The 23295-nt window shown below is 39.9% G+C and overlaps 1 protein-coding gene across 3 annotated transcripts in view, besides 1 other annotated feature; it reads right to left on the bottom strand.

Annotated features, from left to right (window-relative positions):
* Window positions 1–23295, bottom strand: part of MACROD2 (mono-ADP ribosylhydrolase 2) — a 2057682-nt gene that overhangs the window by 990315 nt on the left and 1044072 nt on the right. The gene's annotated exons all lie outside the window — the stretch shown is intronic.
* Window positions 4680–4849: an enhancer, noted in NCBI's record as "experimental_59609 CRE fragment used in MPRA reporter constructs". NCBI's record gives its function as "activates a minimal promoter by MPRAs in K562 erythroleukemia cells, with activity observed for both the introgressed and non-introgressed 20:15038765 variant alleles {active_cell/tissue: K562}" and the evidence as "EXISTENCE:reporter gene assay evidence [ECO:0000049][PMID:34662402]".

Genomic DNA, 23295 nt, shown 5'->3' with positions numbered 1-23295 from the left:
ACCAGTGCAGGAGGCAAGAATTGCAAGAGCTAAGGCAGGAACCATCACCTGCTTCAAAACTCTGCAGGCCTCCTTGGTCCCAAGTTCTATTCGGATTGCCACGTACAGACATCACTAGAATCAAAGCTCTGTGAGGTCAAGAACTTGATCTGCTTTGTTCACTGTTGTGTGCCTAGTGCTTGGAACTATGTCTGACCTATAGTATTCACTCAGTAAATATGTGATCAATAGATTAATTAGTTAAAAGAAAAAACAATTAATTAAGTTGAGCATTAAGTTTTTATTAACACTTTAGCTCAGTTCGGGAGCACAGCAAAACCTTCACTTTCTACTCCAAGGATTTTTTTTTTTTACAGGTATCATGATAAGTACTTCATTTTCACAATTACAGAACCTTCCTTCTAGTCCTGCTGGGAAATGGAGGCGGTTTGGAAGCAGAGTTGCCAGATAAAATACAGGATGTCTAGGTAAATTTGAATTTCACCTGAACAACAAATAATAATTTTTACGTAAGTACATCCCAGTCAGTGCATGGGATCTACTTATACTTTCAAAACAAATCATTGCTCAACTAAAATTTAAATTTAACTGGGCATATTGTATTTTTGTTAAATTCAGCCATCCTATTTCTCAACACCTGGAAATGCAGCTATTTGCTCCAGCCTCTTTCTCCTGAGGCTGTTTACCTATTTTCAGGATCTAAGAGAACATGCACACTCCCTCTCTCTCTCACGCACAAGGCCAAATTCCTTTCCACTAGAAGCACTCCCCCATTCTTCATCAGCAAATATAAGGTATGTTAGCAAGTGACCACTAGGACCCAGGGCAAGCCCAAGGCTGCAGTATCTGCCCTTGCTCTGCCTTCAGAGCAACAAGCTGCCTGCTCTCCTCTAACTCTCAGCTTCTCTAGAGAGGTGGCAGGCACCAGAACATCGTGTCTCCCCACCTGTAGAGGTGCATATCAAGCTCCCCAAAGAGTCTTGTTGAAGTCCCTCTCACTGGGCTTAGAAAGAGAGAGACAGGCCCCTTCCTACCATCCTCCGGGTCTCATAACTCTCTCTGAGACCCAAAATTCATTTGGAGGCTTCCAGGGAAATCTATAATTTAGTATCATAGTACACTTTATCATCAGACATCTTTGCTTTACCTGCAAAGCCCCTTCCCCTTCTCTTTTTACCCAATACAAATTTTAACCTAAACGAATCCTTAATGAGAACAAATAGCCAGGAAGAAGCATCCCTGGCTAAGAGCCATGGAGAAGGCATTAGTTTTAATCCCTCAGAAGCAGGCTTGGAGACACAGACTCACATGCAAGTGGTTTATTAGGAGGCAGATCCCAGGAAATATCAGCACGGGAGTGGGAAAGTGAGACAGGGAAGGGAGAGCAGCTAAAACAGGGTGCATTATCACGTGCATTACCACTGCAGGCTACTAGAGCTCAAACCCACTGAAGAGCTTGGGGAGACAGACTAGGGCACACACTCGGGTAGGTATCCACTGATTCCTTATTGTTATTGAGTGATGCCACCAAGGGCATGAACACTCCAGCATTTCTGTTTTGCTCATGTGGGTGAAAGGTTCCTGCTGCCTGACAAAAGCCCTTAGGCAGGATCACAGCTATTCTAGGAGGCAGCATTTACAGGTGAGTACGGAGGGAGTGGGCAGGGCAAGACAGCTCCTGCACATTGAGAAATGAGGGTTGTCTTCAAAGTTGATGGTAGTGGTCCAAAGAAGGAAATAATCCAGATATCTGAGCATACACTATCACAAGCATTAGGGCCTTTTAAAATACATGCTGTAAAATCATTCTGTCCCCCCTCATCAGCAATTTCATACCATCTTGACTTTTATTGAATTAACTTCTCTGAGCTTTCACCCATACAGGGTGCCTGCTACTCAATTTTACCAGCAACACCCCCACACAAGTTAAAAATCACGGCATTGTAATGAGGCTAAGCTTCCTGAGCCGGCTTCATTGTGTATGAGCTTTTCTCTCAGATGGGATTGTTATTCTCAAGAAGTTCCTATTACTCATGGGTATACTGCTAGTGTATATTTGGCTGTTACATCCAAATGCAGTCACATCAAGTTTACCTTTAGCAAGGGCACAGTCTATTGCATAATGCAGAGCTAGACACTTTGATGGCAGCTTTGTTCTAAATGAGAACTTTGATGTCCAGAGAAACTGGGCTTCAGTAATCCTCAGTGACCTTTGGCACATGAAGCCATGGGAGAAGGGATTTGTTACAGCTAGCAGACTTTATACAGTTGTGGGAAAGGCTGGGGAAATGAAGGCGCTGGGGGAAAGTTGGAAGATGGGGGAAGTCACCATCCAGTCAATCTGAGAAGCCAAGGGTGCCCAGCCATGCAAGAGAAGCATGAAGGGAAGGTTCATAGAGAGGGAAATGCCCCGAGGCTGTTGCCTCTGTGGGTCTGCAGTCAAGCCTGTGGTGCTGGGTCTTGGGCCGTGCTTGGTAAACGGGGAAAGCAGGTAGAAAGAAGAGCAAGACGCAGGGTGGAGGAGAGTAAGATCAAGCCAGAACTTGCCAGCATCTCTGCGACTGTCACCACATTGAACTGTGACAACCTTCAGAGAGGAATGGTTGCTGCTTCACTTCAACCTTCAAAACTCTTCTTTTAGCCAACGCAACCAGAATCACACAGGGCAGGGGATTCTTGGAAATGGAATTCCAGCTTAACCAACTTGAAACGTTATATACAATTTCTTTACAACTGAATTAGGGACAGCAAGGCTAGCAATCTCCTTCCCAAGGGTGTAACACGAATGCTATCAAATGGCATTTTGTATATGCATGTGTTAGCCTTTTCCTTCACATATTTGTACCAGAATATTTTGCACTGTTGTTGGGGGGAGATGGCAGCGGTCATATTTATATTTGCCTCTAATCTGTAGCAGATAGGAAGATACTTTACTATTTCTAGTGTCATCTTCTTTTTCTGACTTCTAGTAGTATACAGCAAGCTTTAGGGAATCTTTATTTCAATTTATTGAAAGGAAATTACTTAGCTACATCCATTTACCTCCTTGGCTACATGAAATTGGCTAGCTAAGAAAGTGATGTTAGAGGCAAGGAGCTTTAAAAGTTTCTCTTAAAAAATTCTGTTCTCTTTTGCAAGTGTTTTGTATGAATTTGAGAAGTCACATGAAATTCCTATATGTTGGGTAAAAATATCCAGCTTTCCATCTTGAAGAATAATGAGTCAAACTGATTGGAATGGATTTGGCTCAGAACAGGCCTGATGGAATTGAAAAGAAGGGATAAACTAGTCCTTTCTCTGGCACAGCTGTCTCTTTAATGGTCCTGAAAGAAACAAAATTCTACTGCCCCCATAAGGAAAGCAATAGTTTGTTCTAATAATCCCTGTTATTAAATATTCACAACCCATCTCAGAAGACATCAGTTGCTGAGATCCACTTAATCATAATGTGCATCCAGAATTCTTTTCTTTTTTTTTCTTTTTCTATTCTTTTTTTTTGAGACAAAGTCTTGCTCTGTCTCCCAGGCTGGAGTGCAGTGGTGTGATCTCGGTTCACTGCAGCCTCCACCTCCTGGGCTCAAGCTATTCTCATGCCTCAGCCTCCTGAGTAGCTGTGATTACAGGCATGCGCCACCACACCCAGCTAATTTGTGTATTTTTAGTAGAGACATGGTTTTCACCATGTTGGCCAGACTGACCTCAGGTGATCCGCCTGCCTCAGCCTCCCAAAGTGCTGGGATCACAAGTGTGAGCCACTGCGTCTGGCCCAGGATTCTTTTCATTGTGTGTGTAATTCTAGTACTGTACAGATATAGCAGTGATGAATTAGCAACATTGGAATTTAAATTTGGGGAAATTCTTGAAATAATTTTACATAATAAAACCATAGATAACACTATGAGTCAGTCATCAAATGTTCATTAAGCACCTACTGTCTGCCAGTTGTTTCAGAAGATACTGACTGACATGTAGAAAGGGTCACTTCCTTCCAACCATAGCTTCTTATAAGTTGACGCTCTAGTTGACTTAAAACACTCTCTCACATGTAGGTACTGATATAATTTTTTTAATGTACTAAATGTTTAACATTTGAGTTACAGTTTTGGACAGATGGTTACATTTTTAAAAAGAAGGAAAAGTTTATAACATATTCAGTTGCTCTACGAAGCTCTTTTAAGATGTTATATTTGTGAAAAGGTGCTTGACATGGAAAAATAATGTTGTAGTAGTAGAGCATAGCATAATTAAATATCCAGATTTGGTTGGCCCAAAAAAGCAGACATCCCTGAAAAACATCTTCTACCTACAGTTGCCAGATTTAGCAAATAGAAATACAGTATGCCTAGTTAAATTTGAATTTCAGTTAAACAACAAATAATTTTTTAGGATAAGTATATTCCATACATTATTTGGGATGTACTTATGCTAAGACAATATTATTTATCTCATATTGAAGTTTGATTGAGAGTCCTGTATTGTATCTGGCAACCCTATTGAGAAGAAAATGAGTGACAAGATAGAACACAACCCCCCAGGTCAAAAGAATTGCAAGGGACAGATCACCAGGTATTGGGGTTGCTGGGGTTGGGGGACAGTCTATGAAGAAACTGTAAGAGCATGAAGCCAGCTTTCAAATAAGAACTTTTCTACATCTGTCCCCCTTTAACCTTTTTTTGACTCCCCCTAGTAAAATCACAAACTTCAGTTTTCAAGCTAATGGAGGAGACATGGTTGGTATAAAAAGAAAGTAGAAAGACTATGCCCTTCCCCTACGTCGAGCAGCCGGTCCATAGCAGGCCTCAGACAAGGTGAAAGAAAGAAAAAGTGAACTTTAAATCAACTTCAGAATTCTGACACACATGACTTGATATTATAAATTCTAAATTGAGACCATGATTGTCTGCCAAGCGACAGGGTATTTTACTATCTCAGGATCAACAGGAAAGTCATAGACAAATCAAGTTTTCATTTAGGGGCAGGGAAAAACTATCTGCACTGAATAAAACGTAAGGGGCAGTGAGAGATCAAAAAAAAGAACATTCTGATTCCGATCCTGTCTTTTCTGTCCCATGAATCCCCTGAGCCAGGCTCCAAGGATGAAAGACTACAGGGGAAGGGAAGAAATTGATATAATGGATCGGGAATGGCAGTTAATGGGACACACAAATGTTCACACCCAGACACCTGCTTTCTAAGCAAACCTGTCTCAACTGTGGGATGTCATGGCCTAGCTGAGCTCACCTATGTCCCAATGCATAATATACATAAACATACATAATGCAATACGGTTAGTGTCATGGTTGCAAGGTGGGATGGGAAAGGATTTGTAGTTATATGCAGGAGAAGTCTTCTGAGTAGAAGGCCATATATGGCCTCTGAGAAGTTGGCCAACCCTTGAGATGCAGCTTGGCCTGCTCATTTGCCCAGAACAAGCCACATAAACCAGAATAATCTGATCTCTGAATTATTCTGATGACCACAGGGAGGACAGCATCCCAACTAGTGATGGGCTTTAGAACTTTTTAATAACCAAGGAGAAATGTTTACTTTACACTTGCTTTTCCTGAAAATATCCTCTAACACAGAAAACACTTAAGGAAGGCAGTCCTGGAATAAAATGGAGGGAATTAAATTGACATACTACATGTACATATATCCTATCATGTAAAGAAAAGTTACTTTAATAAAATTAGGATGGCATTATTTTAAAGCATGGCTATGTAATTTATCGTCATTATTGATATCATATAAAGCTATCACACACACTTTTTTAAAAAATATATATGGTAGGGCATAAAATGAGACACACAAGTCTCTGACTCATATATCCCATCCTCAATTCCATTTAATTCTCCAGAGACAATCATCTTAAACAGCTTCTGTTTCGGGTTGGTCAGGTAACCACATAACTCTTTGTGATGAACTTAGGCTTCTAGTTTTTAAATTTATTTTGGCTTCTATTAACAAAGTTACAACTTATTTTTACTATCCCCATCTCCACTCCTATCTGTTTCTCCTGATATCTGAAAGTTATATGATTAGTTCTTATTTGTTGTTGTGATCATACATGTCAATCATATACTTAAAAATCTCTTTGCTGTTACATCAGTTACACATGATATTTGACTCTTCACAGGTTATTTTAGTTTTACCATTTCTTTTTCATTTAAAATATTTAAATTTTGTCCTATAACCATGATTTAGTCTTCCTTACATTATCCCTTGATTGATTCCAAACTTTTTTTTTTTAAACAGCTAAATTTACACAATTGGGACCATGTTAAAGTTATTTACTGTTGAACCAAGTAGTTTGAGTGGAAGGGGAAAGAAACGTGCCATCTCTTCAAGGGCTTCACCTAACAGCTGTGAACATTACTGCTGTCTACATACTGCTGGCCAGAATCTAATCACATGACCATGGTCAGCTGCAAGGGAGGGTGGAAAATGAAGCATTTAGTCAAAAAACTCATCAGTCTAGTTAACAGGAGTCTCGCCGGGAGCTCTGAGTGCTTGGGGCAAGGCATGTAAACTGGCAGATTTCACTTCACCCTGAAAGATGAAGAAGCTGTTGAACTGAGGTTTCCCACAAATAGCCAGGACGAGGCGAAGTTATCTTTGGGTTGCTGGCATCCACTTTAGAAATGCTTAGCTCCCTCAGCTCCTCTAATTTCATGAGAGAAGAGTGCTCTGTGTTTTACCTGGCCATAAATGTCAGACTTCCAGTTAGTCTGCATACAGAGGAGGGGGTCGGGTGCTGTCTTGCAGCTGTCAAGTAGACTTTAAAGATGTTGCTTTCGGCCAGGTGCTGTGGCTCACGCCTGTAATCCCAGCACTTTGGGAGGCCGAGGCAGGCGGATCACTTGAGGTCAGGAGTTCGAGACCAGCCTGGCCAACATGGTGAAACCTTGTCTCTACTAAAAATACAAAAATTAGCTGTGCATGGTGGTGGGCGCCTATAATCCCAGCTACTCGGGAGGCTGAGGCAGGAGAATGGCTTGAATTCAGGAGGCAGTGAGCCGAGATGGCGCCACTGCACTCTAGCCTGGGTAACAGAGTGAGACTCCATCTCAAAAAAAAAAAAAAAAGATGTTGCTTTCTGTCCCTCCACCCAATCCAGCTTCCAGAAGCTGGCAATTCTGACAGTAGCCCTTGCATTTAGCCTCCTCCTAAATATACTCTGGGCTAAACCTTGTTCCACTTAATATTATCCATTACAATATTCCATCCATTCTCCTTAATCAAAAATTAAATTCATAACTCTGGTCTGATGATCCTCCCTTCCCATCCCCGCCTCCCAATTTACCTTCCTGTCATGTATTTGTTCTCCGCTATAATTCTTCACTGTCATTTCAATGCATTTGAAGAAAGAGGGGGAGAAAATACATCTGTTCAGTCTTCTTGTAAACCATTAGGCCACTTCTGAACCAGAGACAATAATCTCACTCAACCTTCATGCTTTTAGATGAGAAAACCAAGACCCAGAGATTGATGGGTGAACTGAAACACAGCCAGCCGGTTAGGTCCTGGATTGGAATTAAAAACCAGGAATCCTCACTCCTGATGATTTGTTTGTATTATATTACCATGCCCTTAAAATTTACATTATATATCTTATTCAAAATTTGTGGGTATAGCCCAGGTGTGGTGGCTCATGCCTATAATCCCAGCACTTTCAGAGGCCAAGGTGGGCGGATCACTTGAGGTCAGGAGTTTAAGACCAGCCTGGCCAACATGGCGAAACCCTGTCTCTACTAAAAATACAAAAATTAGCTGGGTGTGGTGGAAGGCGCCTGTAATCCCAGCTACTTGGGAGGCTGAGGCAGGAGAATCACTTGAACCCAGGAGGAAGAGGTTGCAGGGAGCCAAGATCACACCATTGCACTCCAGCCTGAGCAACAAGAGTGAAACTCCATCTCAAAAAAAAAAAAAAAAAAAAGCTAGATGTGGCGGCACAAGCCTGTAATCTCAGCTACTTGGGAGGCTGAGACAGGTGAATCACTTGAACCTGGAGACGGAGGTTGCAGTGAGCGGAGATCATGCCATTGCACTCCAGCCTGGGTGACAGAGTGAGACTCCATCTCAAAACAAAACAAAAAAAAGTTGTGGGTATAGGTAAGCTAAGGTGCTAAATGTGATCTATTCTCCCTCTGTAATGTGGTAAATGACATTTTGTACTACAGTGGAGTGCTGTTACTGAGCACCTAATACAGGCATATCTCAGCAATATTAACATGTTCAATTCCAGACCACCACAATAAAATGAGTCACACACATTTTTTTATTCCCTAGTATATATCAAAGTTGTGTGTGTAGTATACTGTAGCTGATTAAGGGTGCAATAGCATTATATCTAAAAAATAATGTACCTACCTTAATTTAAAAAATACTTTATTACTAAAAAACACTAATAATCATCTGAGTCTTCAGTGAGCTGAAATTTTTTTGATAGTGGGGAGTCTTGCCTCTATGGTGATGGCTGCTGACTGATCAGGGTGGTGGTTGCTGAGGCTGGGGTGGCTGTGGCAATTTCTTAAAATAGGACAACAAAGAAGTTAGCCAATTAACTGACTCTTTCACAAAAAATTCTCTGTAGCATGCAATGCTATTTAATAGCATTTTTCACACAGTAGAATTTATTTTAAAAATCAGGGTCAATCCTTTCAAACCCTGCCACTACTTTTATCAATTAAATTTACGGAATATTCTAAATCCTTTGTTGTTATTTCAACAATGTTCACAGCATCTTCATCAGGAGCAGATTCCATCTCAATAAACCAGTTTCTTTGCTCATCCGTAAGAAGCAATTCCCTCATCCATTCAAGTTTCATCACAAGAGTGCACCAATTCAGTCACATCTTTAGGCTCCAATTCTAATTCAAGTTCTCTTGCTATTTCCACCACATTTGCAGTTACTTTCTCCACTGAACTCTTAAACTTCTCAAAGTCATCCATAAGAGTTGAAATCAATTTCTTCCAAGCTCCTGTTCATGTTGATATTTTGTCCTCCTCCCATAAACCACAAATGTTTTTAATAACATCTAGAATGGTGAATCCTTTCCAGAAGGTTTTCAATGTTCTTTGCCCAGATTTGTCAGAGGAATCACTATCTATGGCAGCTATGGCCTTACAAAATGTATTCTTTAAATAATAAGACTTGAAAGTCATACTTACTCCTTGATCCATAGGCTGCAGAAGGAATGTTGTATTAGCAGGCATAATCAATGCCAATCTCTTTGTATATCTCCAGTACAGCTCTTGGGTTACCAGATGCATTGTTAATAAGCGATAATATTTTGAAAATAATCTTTTTTTTTTAATCAGCAGTAGGTCTTAACAGTGGGCTTAAAATATTCAGTTAACCATGCTGTAAACAGATGTGCTGTCATCCAGGCTTTCTTGTTCCTTTTATAGAGTGCAGGAAGAGTAGATTTAGCATAATTCTTAAGGACGATAGAAATTCCAAAATGGCCAATGAGCACTGGCTGCAACTTAAAGTCACCCACTGCATTAGCTCCTAACAATAGACTCAGCCTGCCCTTTGAAGCTTTGAGGCCAACCTATGACTTCTCTTTTCTAGTGATGAACATCCCAAGTGGCATCTTCTTCCAATATAACGCTGTTTCATCTACGTTGAAAATCTGTCATTTGGTATAGCCACGCTCATCAGTAAATTTAGCTAGATCTGGATAACTGGCTACAGCAGCTTCTACATCAGCACTTGCGGCTTTACCTGCGCTTTTATGTTACAGAGATGGCTTCTTTCATTAAATCTCAGGAACCGACCTCTGCTAGCTTCCTATTTTTCTTCTGCAGCTTCTTCAGCTTTCTCAAACTTCACAGAACTGAAGAGAGTTAGGGCGTTGCTCTGGATTAGGGTTTGGTTTAAGGAAATGTGCCTGGTTTGATCTTCTGTCCAGACCACTAAAACTTTCTCCATATCTCCCATAAAGCTGTTTCACTTTCTTATCATTCTTATGTTCACTGGAATAGCAGTTTTAATTTCCTTCAAGAACTTTTCCTTTGCATTTACAACTTGGCTATTTGGCACAAGAGGCCTAGCATTTGGCTGTCTCTGCTTTCAACATGCCTTCCGCACTAAGCCGAATCATTTCTAGCTTTTGATTTAACATAAACCTGCAATTCTTTCTCTCACTTGAACACTTAAAGGCCATTGTAGAGTTATTAACTGGCTCGGTTTCAATATTGTCATGTCTCAGGGAATACGGAGGCTCCAGGAGAGGGAGACAGACAGGGGAATGACAGGTCAGTGGAGCAGTCGGAGCACACACATTGATTAATTAAGTTTGTGACCTTTTATGAGCACAGTTTGTGGCACCCCAAAACAATGACAATAGTAATGTCAAAGATCACTGACTACGGATCACTATAAAATAGATAAGAATAACAAAAAAGTTTGAGATATTGAGAGAATTATCAAAATGTGACACAGGAGCACAAAGTGAGCACATGCTCTTTAAAAAGTGGTGCCAATAGGCTTGCTCAATACAAGGTTGCCACAAACCTTCAATTTGTAAAAAGACACAATATCTGCAAAGCACAATAAAGCAAAACACAATAAAACAAGCGATGCCTGTATATGCCACCCATCACACTAGGCACAGAGAACACAAAGATAGATGGCTAATTCCCTGGAACCTCAAGGAGCACACACAGTTTGAGGACCGTGACAAACATATAAATATCTAGCCTTAATATGGTGTTGTAAATTACAAGACAGATGAATGCAGCAAGCACAGAATGAGCACAGAGAAGGAACTCAGTCAGGTGATTTAAGAAAATTCCTTGAAGATTATAAAAAGATGGTATAGGCCGGCCGGGCGCAGTGGCTTACACCTGTGATCCCAGCACTTTGGAAGGCCGGGACGGGCGGATCACAAGGTCAAAAGGTCGAGACCATCCTGGCCAACATGGTGAAACCCTGTCTCTACTAAAAACACAAAAAATTAGCTGGACGTAGTGGCGCGTGCCTGTAGTCCCAGCTACTCGACAGGCTGAGGCAGGAGAATGGCTTGAACCTGGGAGGTGGAAGTTGCAGTGAGCTGAGATTGCGTCACTGCACCCCAGCCTGGCGGGGACAGAGAAAGACTCCGTCAAAAAAAAAAAAAAAAAGAGATGGTATAATGGCTAGTTGTATGTGTCAATTTGGCAAGACTTTAGTACTCAGTTATTCAATTAAACACTAACCAAGATGCAGCTCTGAAACTATTTTGTTGATGTGATTAACATCTACAACCAGTTAACTTGAAGTGGAGGAGATTATACTTGATGATCTGAGTGGGCCTCATCTACTCAGCTGAAAGGCTTTAAGAGCAAAACTGAGGTTTTCCTGAAGAAGAGGAAATTTCATGTGTAGACTGCGGCTTCGGCCACTGCCAGGGTGTTTCCCGCTGTCCTGCCTGCCCTATGGAGTTTAAGCTTGCCAGTCCCCAGTTCTACGGATTTTGGATCTGTCAGCTGCTATGACACACACACACACACACACACACACACACACACACACACACACACACACACACACACACATCTCCTACTGATTTCTGGTTCTGTAGAACTACTCTGTGAACCCTAACTGATAAAGTTGGGGGAAACTAGCCAAGTAAACGAAAAATGGATATCAAAAAATGTTCCAAAAATGACTCTGTTCATTTGGATATAACTAATGCAGACAGCCATTTGCGGTCACAAACTAATTTTTCCCTAACTAAACAGATTAAATCTAATACTTACATTAGTTAAATCAGACAGAAAAGTGGGTTCTCTTGGCAGGTTTTTAAAAAGGGATTTCAGTTATTATTAGACTCCAGAAAATTACCAAGTTTGGAAAGGAGATATTCAGACTTATTAAAAAAATGAAGAATTTTCTCAGCATGTATAACCAAATGGAACAAAACCTCTTTGTTCAACCATAATTTTACATTTTATAATAAAATCCTTCCATAAAAGAATAACTTCCAATTTTGAACACCCTTTGAGTCAACCAAGAGTCATCTTTATTCTAATTTACATATATGTATAAATAATTATGCATTCAACCTTACATCAGGGATGAATTTTTTTTTTTTTCACATACCTTCCCTTCTTTGAGATATATGACAAGTTTTATTAATTAAAGCAACCTAGGCTTAAAAACACTCTCTAGAGCAAGCATTTCACTACTTTAAAAAATGTCTGCAGCCTGCATCTCTCATGTCATTTAGGTCATTTAAGAAGAAACCTAGCGTGAACCCAGGAGGCGGAGCTTGCAGTGAGCCAAGATCATGCCACTGCACTCCAGCCTGGGCAACGGAGCAAGACTCCATCTCAAAAAAAAAAAAAAAAAAAAAAAAAAGACCTAAATAGAAAGTGTAAAAAGACAACAGTGTTAAACATCCAATGTAAATAGACAAAAATGTTAAAATTATGTTACTTTTTATATATGAGTATCGAGTATTTTTATTTTGTAATTGAATTTATCAAAATGCATGTTGTACAACTAATCAATTATGAAAAAAGTATGGAGATAAATTATGTGCTTTTCAAAATTCTTTAATAAAATATTTGCTTTTACACCAATGTGGTATGCTGTATTGAGTGCTTTTTAGTCAGTACCATATGAAAGTCAAATTACAACCATATTAACATGCATAATTCCACTTTGATTTCTGATATGGAAAGAGGTGGTAAATGGCAAGTCAAAGAGAGAATCATCAAAAGCTCCTTTTGTATGATTGTTAAGAGCTTTAGAGCACAAGACAGACTGGAAATAAAATTACACTAAAATATTGTTTCTTAAGGATTTCTGCTAACTGAAGCTGGTTGTGTAGGTTTATGAAAACATGCTTAGAGGCAGGAAGCTTTCTATGGTATGAAACACAGGTAGATTATGAAGACAAGACCAAAATATGCAGCTATATTCTTTTTTTTTTTTTTTTCCTGAGACAGAGTCTCACTCTGTCATCCAGGCTGGAGTGCAGTGGCACAATCTTGGCTTACTGCAGCCTCCGCCTCCTGGGTTCAAGCGATTCTCCTGCCTCTGCCTCCCGAGCAGCTGGGGTTAAAGGTGCCTGCCACCATGCCCAGCTAATTTTTGTATTTTTAGTAGAGACAGGGTTTCACCATGTTGGCCAGGCTGGTCTTGAACTCCTAACCTCAGGTGATCTGCCTGCCTCGGCCTCCCAAAGTGCTGGGATTACAGGCATGAGCCAACGCACCCGGTCATGTAGCTATATTCTTTAAGACACGTTAAAACTCTGTGCCTGTATTATATTTTTTATCTTAGAGGGTAGCACACTATGCCTTGACTATATCTGGTTGCCCCAAATAACAAATGTAATTTGGCTTATGCATTAAAAATAAAGTTTCTGATTTAGCTTCTCACTTTAAATAATCAAAATCATACATATATTGATTTTTTTTTACTTCTCTTGAAAAATAATATTTGCCAATGATGAGATAGAATTGTTATTGAAAACAGTGGACTTCAGCTGAGTAGCAGCTGCCTTTAGAAAGACATGTATTTTCTTGGTGGCAACAAGTCTCTCTCCTCTTTTTTCTCTTCCTCTCCCTCCCTCTTCTCTTTCTTCTTCTCCCTCTTTCTTTCCCTTCCTACCCTTCTCTCTCCTTGCAATGCTTTTCCTTAGCCCACATCTCTGATTTTACTAATTTATCTCCCTGATCTCTATAGGCATTACTGTTTATCATTCCACATCATAAATATTACTATTATCCTGTTTTTACTTCCCATCACAAAGACAGTGGCATGTATTATATCTGTTCCTATAATGTTCTTTCTTTTGGACATTAAAAAAAATAATTTAAGCTGTGTTAAGTGATAAGGGTTATTCATTTTTTCAAAGAAAAATTTTAAAAAGAAAATTTTGATTGAAAAAGTATATAATGCACTGTTCATTTATCCAGTAGAGTATCATGAAACCATTAAAAAGAAAAAAAATGAGAAAAATGTTCAAAATATACTGTTAAGTGACAGAACAATGTTGAAAAACATTATGTATTAAAAATACTGCTATGATTATTCATAAGAAATTTTTAACAGTAGGCACATCTATAATTGAGAATGTGGATGGGGGTATGTTGAGGTGAAAGATTTTTCTTATACATTTATCCTTCTTTATGCTTTAGACTTAGCACCAGCATAAATTATGTTTAAAATGAAGAACCATTTTTAAGCTCCAAAAATGAATACCACTTAAAAATAATATTTTAAAGGCTACTCTTTCAGGAATCGTTTCTATAGTTCATTACTGGAGAAGTTTATCTGATTGCATAGAAAATAATAATGATATTTTATATGTATGTATATTTATTTGTGTAACACGTTCACATACATCATTATCTAATCTGGTCTTTATAATAACCCTGTAAGGTAGGCACGTAGATACTATACTCATTTTTTTTTTTTACAGAAAAGTAAAAAGAATGAGAGGATTAAGTAACCTACATGAGATGAAACAGTCAAAGAGATAACCAGAATCACACCAAGTGTATCTGTCAGGAGGGACTAGGTTATGCAGTGGTAACAAAACTCCTTTACATATCAGTGGCTTCAAACCACGAAGCTTTGTTTGTTTGTGTGTTTGTTTTTGAGATGGAGTCTTGCTCTGTCACCCAGGCTGGAGTACAGTGGCACAATCTGATCTTGGCTCACTACAACGTCTGCCTCCTGGGTTCAAGCAATTCTCATGCTTCAGTCTCCTGAGCAGCTGGGTCTACAGGCACCCACCACCACACCTGGCTAATTTTTTATTATTTATTTATTTATTTACTAGAGACAGGGTTTCACCATGTTGGCCGGGCTGTTCTTGAACTCGTGGCCTCAAGTGATCTGCCTGCCTCGGCTTCTTAAAGTGCTGGAATTACAGGTGTGAGCCACCATGCCCAGCCCTTTAAAAAAATTATGTATTTCTTTTTTCTTGTTCATGTCTAGTGACAGGTGGCTAAACTCTGTTCCATAATGTCTTCACTGTGGGTCCCAGGCTGACAGAATAGCCACTGTGAAGATCATTGCTAGCCATGGTGGCAATGGAAACCTCATCACATTGTAATAAAAGCAAAGGAAACCTCATCACGTTGCAATGAAAGCAAAGGAAACCTAATCACACTGTAATAAAAGCCTTAGCCACTGCTACTCACAACTCAGTGGGTAAAACTGGTTGTAAACTCTGTCCAATCAGAAGAGCTCCAGTAAATGCAGTCTTACCATATACCCAGAATTGGAGGGGCAGGGTGGCTAGAATAATTAGTAAACTTTAATGACTGACACTCCAAAGCCTCTAACTCAAGTTCTCTTATAATAAATTATTAAAACTACATAGATCTTTAGATTCTCCATATTTAGAATAACACTTTCATTTAAAACTACCCTGACACAAATGAGTTAAAAATATGGGTGTATCATACTAATTTTTATCTTATATAATTCCATAAGTGTCCTGTATTTTTTTCATTCTTACTTACATTGCATCAGATGATTGCTGCCAGTAAGTGTTTTGTCCTTCAGTAGGTAGGAGGAAACACTGAAGTTGAGCATCTCAGTGCCTACTTAGCCACATCAAGTACAGAATATTAACAGAAGGAAACGCCAGCTGCAGCCTGTAGATAGCACACCACACTGCACAGTACATACTATAAACAAGTATTCTCCAAACATTCACAGGCTCTTAACCTCAATCACGTATCCTCAATCAGATGTCAATTCAGTAGCAAATTTTCTAAATAATGATGATGTAACATCCATTAGTAAATAAGAGACATCAATTACATTAAATATCATGCTTGGGCTGCCAGATCATTGTGAACAAAACACATTGATAAGCAATGTGCTTTTCAGCCAAGGGCAACCAATGAATGCAGTGAGTTATCAAAGAGACATAAAGAAATATGTTCTACTTTAGGGAAAGTCACAGCAGCTGTTAATCAGATGCAAGTAATTGAAGTATAGTTGACAAAATGTTAAGAGGAACAGGACCAACAGCCCAGATTAATAAATTCCTTTTCAGAAGGAAAGCATTAGCAAAGTCAAGGAACAGAAAGTTATGAGGTATAATAGCTACAACTGAGTAATTTATAACCTAGGCGTGGAAAGAGTAGACAGAGAGGCCAACTGGACAGGTGTTGTGATAGTCCAGAAGTGAGGGGACTGTAGCCTGGGATTAAAAGAAACACAACTGGAATGGAGAAGAAGGGGGACTTTAAGAGTCATTTCAAAAGAAGAATCCAAGATTTGAAACTGACTGGGAACGGACAGCCAGAGTAAGAAGTGGGGTTAAAACAATAAACACTAACTCCTTTCTTAATACATACATGCATGTGTGTGTGCGCACACATACCTAGGTACACATGTGCAAAAACACAGACGTGACACTTGTTTACTGGGAGTAATTGTGTCACAGACAGAAACAGACCGTCTAAAGGGTTTTGGTAGGAAGATGTTCTCATTGGGTTTAATCTTGGTCATGGTAAATCTGCGGTAATGGAAGAACATGTGCGTGAAATGTTTTGGTTTTGGGGACCATTCTTTTTGCAAAACTTATGTTCAAAAGAGACTACGAGGTAAGAGTTATAGCTTTAGAAGTCATCATGTGGGAAGGTTCGGAGATATATTTTTAAATTACTGATCCATATGTTGTCTCTTACTTTTACAAAACAGTTTATTTGAATTTCTTATATATATATATGTATTTTTTAATTTTTACCTTATGTGGCATTTATTCTATATTGTTCTAGGAGGAGTCTGAGAAGACCTAAAACAGAAGAGAAAAAGGCGAAGAAGATGCTTAAATATATACATTATTCAAGTAATTAACTGAAGCCTTGAGCGTACAGATGATCTCCGAAAGGACGCCACAGAGAGGAGAAGGCTGGACTTGCAGAACACACTGCTGTTGAAGAGGTGACAGGAAGATTCAGAGCTCACAAAGAAGACAGGTCAGACGTGGAGAGGCGAGCCAGCAGAACACCCTCAGAAATACTGCTCTCCTGTTCGGATGGCCAGTTTTCATATTTTAGAATATTTTTCAAAAAGCACTTCAATATAATGAAGTTCCCTCAGTTATAACAAGGCCATTTTTCATAGCTATTTGTGTAGATAGTCCAAAAGTGTGGTGTGTTATCAGAAAGGGAAAAAAAAAAAAAAAAAAAAAAAAACCCTGGTCTGGAGAGAAATTATCAGAGAAACATCAGAATAAACCAATTTGTTTGATTAAAAATCTATGGGTAATGGTGGCCTTTCTCCATGGTTATGATCTTGTATTTCACATGTACAAACACCATATATTTGTAATTTATGAATCAAATCATGATTTAGGAATTTATTAAAAAGGCAAACTAAGGAAGAAAGCCAAGTTTCACAATAGTTTCAACAGCTAAACATCATGTTTTCCGCGCAACGTGGAGACATGCCTGCAAGCACTCTTTCTCCCCCGGGCCTCAAATGTGCTGCCAAATCCTTTACTCACCTCCCTGTGTTGCTGAGTGAACTGAAGGGGAGAAAAACACAGACAAGGTCAGAACACTCTCACAGAGGTGGCAAAGGTGTCCCATTTTACTGGATGTTTGGGATTCCCAAGCTGACATTCTAACCTCAGACATTATTTAGAAGAGCATTAAAAATTTAGCTGCGTGAAGCTGTGTTTTCTGATTAGGGTCTTCTGCAGGGTGACGGCCATGATGAACTTGTTACTGACAATTCTTCCTCAGACAATTCATCCCCATTTCTTTTCTTTTCTTTTCTTTTTCTAGATCATCTTTAGTACTGTTAGGTTCTCTTAGAAACTGGTGCACTCAGGATTCCTTGTGTGTTAAAAGGTTGTGATGTAGGAGTTAAAAAGCTTCAATTCAGCCTCTTGTGTTTTGAACCACATATGACTGTTTTGTAGAAAACTCTTACATTGACATAAGGTTCAGATGCTGCATTTTAACATTGAATGTATTTTTAGACAAAACTTAAAATCTGTATAAATATTATTAAATATTTCTATGGATAAACAACTGCACATAACGTTTTATCTGTGAGAGTCCCAAGAGGAAATAAATGGCACTTTCAAACAGAGTAATTTGAGTGTTTAATAGAGACTATTTACAAAGATGTGGGAAGGCTGTAGCAACCCCCAGAGCTAGTGACATTCCCTGAAGTTAGCAAGCAGGCACTGTTAACATTTTCAAGCCAAAAGGCTTGAAAAGAAAGTGTAGTTCCCAGCACATGTAGACAATCACAAAAAGCAAACACCTCACCTTTACTCTCCTCTTTACCTTAGACTGCCTGGGAGAGCTGCCCATTGACCAAACCCAAAAAGAAGCCAGAAGGCAGAGAAGTCCATTGAGACAGTCCATACAGATCAGCTCTCCAGGCAGAGAGAATGGGAAAGATGGGAAGAGTGGGTCTGGAGGGCAAATGGGAGACACTCCGCACAGATGTACTCATTGACTCAGAGAAGGAGTGTGTTAAGGGAGAAAACAGGAATAATCTTGATTGTGCCATTTTGAATTTCAAAACTGATAGTGTGATATAACAAATATATATTCAGTCCCCAGTTCCTGGCACAGAGCTCCCTAAAACTCTTGTAAGCTCCTGAGTGATAGGAGTAAGAAGAACCTCTTTGGTTATTCATAATAAGGCTCTTTAACCACACCTGAGATTATGCTAATAGGATTACTCTTGATGGGCCCCTAAATAGCTTCAGGATGAGGTCTGGTTGCCAGAGGATCCGACCATGTGATGAGAGGGTTGGCACCTTTCAGCCCCACCTTCCAACCTCCATGGAGGGGAGATAGGCTGTAGATTGAATTCAATCACCAAAGGCCAATGACTTAATCAATCATGCCTATTTAATGACACCTCCATAAAAACCCTACACAATGGAGTGCAGAGAGTTTCAGGGGTGCTGAGCACATGCAGGTACAAGGAGTGTGGCGCTCCCAGAGAAGGTTTGGAAGCTTCATGCCTCTTTCTGCCCCATGCATCTCTTCTGTCTGGCCATTCTTGAATTGTGTCCTTTGTAATAAATTGGTCATATTAAGTAAAGTGTCTTCCTGAGTTCTGTGATCCATTCTAATAAAATATCAAACCCGAGGAGAGTGTCGTGGGAACCTCTGATCAGCTGGTTGGTCAGAAATACGGGAAGCCTGGATGTGTGACTGGCATCTGAAGTGGAGGCCATAATCAGGGGTACAGACAAAGTGTTAGAGAGAAGCACAGTGAATGAAAAGAGCTCCTCTCCACCATGCCCAGACTGCAAAAGCTTCTTTTTGACTGGGGGAAAGAGAAAAGGGAAGAGGCGATAAGTAAAGGAAGATCTGAAGGCCCAGGAGTACAGGGGCCCAAGACAATCTTTCAAAAGAAGCCACTCAGAGAGGGACAAACTCCAGAGAGAGAATGTGGGTGTGCAGCGTGGAGGCATCATGCAAAAAACTCAAGTGGGTGAAGGAAGCTAGGTGGAATCCAATGGACACTGGAGGGGCCTGTGTGGGCCTGGAGAGCCAATGCCCCATGCAAAGGCACAGCAATGCCCTATGCAAAGGCACAGCCCCAGCCAGCTGGCTGCTCCTATGCAAGAATGCAGGCACTGAGTTACAGTATTTCCCATTTTTCAAGAGAAATCTGAAAACTACATTATTCAAATAAAATTTCCAGATTCTTAAAACTTTGTGGGCTAAATAAAATGCGTCTGTGGAACAAATTCAGTCCACTGCCTGGTCATAGAAACATGGAGTCCTAGTGGCTTACTATGCCCTAAGCAAGCCACCAAAGCAGCAGGAGGTTTGCTAGACCTGAGAGGCCACATAGATAGGAATGAAGGACACAGCAAAGCAGACTTAGGTTCAAGGAACAGCTGGGTCCCTTTCACCCAGGCCTAGTTCCACACAAACTTCCAGGAATGTTGATACAACCCCAGGAAGGGAAAGAAACACCTAAACCATTGAGCTTAAAGTTCCGTGCCATGTCAGCAGAATCAGGACTCAAAAAGGAAACAGTGTTGTAGAAAAATAAAGTAGTCACTACTCATCTATATTCCCTCATTCCTTTCAGTAAGATTTGGCTCTAAATTTGCAAGATACAATCTAGGCTTCTTGCCTACCAGTTCCATGATCCCATTAAAGGGATGTAAGTAGAGTTCATCATTAAGATTTCCTGCTTCTGTTCTATGCAAACTATGGCACGCTGAGCTTCTGCTGATGGAATTTCAGGTGCTAAGACAGGGACCTTCAAGTTCATCCACAATCCTGAGGCAGAAATCTGTGGGTAAAAGATACCTATCCTGAGATGATTCTGGCTCTGTCCCGGCAGTGGCCATAATTCACTGTGGGCCCTAGAATGAGATGTTTCTTCCATGTTTCTTCCCTGCTTGGCCCCAATACTCTTGTCATAAACTATAAGGGGCGAGAGTCAGGCCTCAGCCAAACACACGTCCCATTCTGCTGTAGGATGCTATACTCCTACAGGTGGCCAGGTGAGGGCATACTGGAAATGATTGAGCATTACACAGATGAGAACATGTACCATTATTTTTATATTACTGTTTCTTCCACACAGATTCCACCTCCCTTTTGCACAATAAGATTAGACATTTTCCTGCCTTGTTTGGCTACTTTAGAAACTCTTAGGATTTATACCTTTTTTTTCCTGCATTTTCCCCTTTTCCAGTCATCAGCAAATTCTCTGGAAGGTCTGTTATGAAAATAACCTACAGAATTTCACTTTCTATTTGTCATAGGATAATTTATATCCCTAGGAAAGAGAGCTTGTTTTTTATTTTTTCTTTCACTAGTAAAGTCTGAGATAAGGAATCATGTGTTTATTTCTTATGACTTGGGGCTCCAAACTTCTTTGAAATCCTCTCGCTAATCTTCTTGTCCCTGAATGGCTTCAAGTTCTCCAGCTTCCTCCAATCCTGCTTGGCATGTATGACATGCCTCATCACCATATGTTTTTCCATCTTTTGATGACTTATTTCAGCCTATGGGCCTAAAAATCTCTATGTTAAATTCAAACATTCTGCATTATTGAACAATATAATGAAGCATTTCGATATTAAAACTCCAAGAAACAATGATGGAGAAATTAAGTACTCAATGGCAAGAAGGGTACAGTAACAAATCTGAAAAATATAAATTAAAAAATTCAGTTTGGGTGTGGTGGCTCACACCTGTAATCCCAGCACTTTGGGAGGCCGAGGCAGGAGGATCACTTGAGCCCAGGAGCTTGAGACCAGCCTGGGCAACACAGGGAGATCCCATCACTACAAAAAATGTTTAAAAATTTAGATGGGTGTGATGGGTGTGTTGGTACATGCCTGTGGTCTCAGCTACTCAGGAGACTGAGGTGGGAGGATAACTTGAGGCTTCAGTAAGCCATGATCATGCCACTGTACTTCATCCTGGGTGACAGAGTGAGACCCTGTCTCAAAAAAGTAAGAGAGAGAGAGAGAGAAATTAATTTAAAAAAATCAAAATCTAGAAGTAGTATTCTTCTATAAAATCTAGAAGTACATGACTTTCTAAAGTTGGATATATGGCCAGAAGTGGGCAATTGAAGTTTTGCTCAATATTGAGCAGGTGTTAATATTATGAAGAATATTACTCAGACCAAGAGATGTCCCCTTCCAATGACTGGGAACTGTATTACAAACAAAAATTTGTCACGCCCTTTCTAGATGTAGCATTATAGAATTAAAATAACTTTCCCATTTATTGGCTTTTTCTTCCACAAATGGAGATCAGAAACTAGCAGATTCAAATTTTCATAACTGCACAATTCATGGAAGTGAGTAAATACAGCTCAAATTTATAAAAACCAATCATCATGTCAAGAATCCATATAACAAGTCATACCAGTAAATTAGTTGAATTGCAAGTATTTCCACCAAAAAGTGAGTTCCAAAAGAATGAAAACATAAAAGATTTTATCTGCTTCAATCAATCATTAATACTTCTGGAAAACTATCTCTATACAAGGAGTTGAGAAAAGGCCATAAACACATAGTTCAGATCAAGACCTGACCCTCATAATTGAATGAGAATGTTAAAAGCCAAGACTCTAGAGTTACTTAAATATATTACAAATATTACAAATTGCCACAATGAACAATTCAGCCCCAAAACATTGAGCATAGCTAAGATGCTTAATAGCAAACAAAATAACTTTATATAAAGCCATCTGCTGAACAATGTTCCGATAGGGTCAGAGAAAACACTATGTTAAACCCATAGAAGAAAAGTAGACATGGGGAATTGGCAATCCAAAAAGGTAGAGGAAGCAGCAATCCATACAAGGGAATGAAACATGAGATAAAGACCCCCCTGAAGACACTCCTCACCTTTGTCCTAATTGGTCACCTCAATAGCCCACTTCAGTGACATACCACTGGTAGAAACATAGTCCTTCTACAAAGCCCTTGGCTAAAGAACATTAGGAAACAGGGTGGGGAATGGAGAGAGAGTAAACCATTGTCACCATAATTAAGCTAAATCTGGGAAGTAAAAGGAAGGAGTGGACCCAGCCAAATACACTATTGAGAGGGGCTGCATTAAGGTACTTTTTTTTTTTTTTTCCTGAGACGGAGTCTCGCTCTGTCGCCCAGGCTGGAGTGCAGTGGCGCGATCTCGACTCACTGCAAGCTCCGCCTCCTGGGTTCTTACCATTCTCCTGCCTCAGCCTCCCTAGTAGCTGGGACTACAGGCATGTGCCACCACACCTGGCTAATTTTTTGTATTTTTAGTAGAGACAGGGTGTCACCGTGTTAGCCAATCAAGGTACTTCAAAGCTATGAGATCACCTCTATATGGTTCCCAGCAAAAAGACCTGCTTTTCCCCTCATATATGAACAATGCTTCACATCCAAGAGGACACTTATAGAAATCTTGGGGTAATAAATGCCACTAAGTAATTGAACGTCGACCCCTTAATAACAAGTGGAAGGTGTGGAAGGAAGCAAGGACTCAGACACCTACCTCTCCAGAAACTTTGGGAGCATCCAAAACTTTACAACAACTAGGTTCTGATAATGACATTGTGTTGAAAAAAATGACCCTTAGTTTTGAAAACAAAAGGGATGATGAAAGTAAACCCTGGTGTAGGACGCCAGCTATAAATATCTGCTGTCTCTAAAAGTATCTGCTGTCTCCGTAAGTACCTGCTGTCTCCAGTTGATTTCTCATTTAATGCTTCCCTCTCTTCTTCCCTTAGCAAGCTGTAGAGTCGCTTTCTGTTTAGTTGTCTATCACACTCTCCTCTCCCACTCTCCCTGACAACATCCCTTGAAATCTGCCACTGTGGTTTGT

This window comes from Homo sapiens, chromosome 20 (genome assembly GCF_000001405.40).
Source record: "Homo sapiens chromosome 20, GRCh38.p14 Primary Assembly".
NCBI lineage: Eukaryota > Metazoa > Chordata > Mammalia > Primates > Hominidae > Homo > Homo sapiens.
This window is presented reverse-complemented; position numbering and strand designations above follow the sequence as displayed.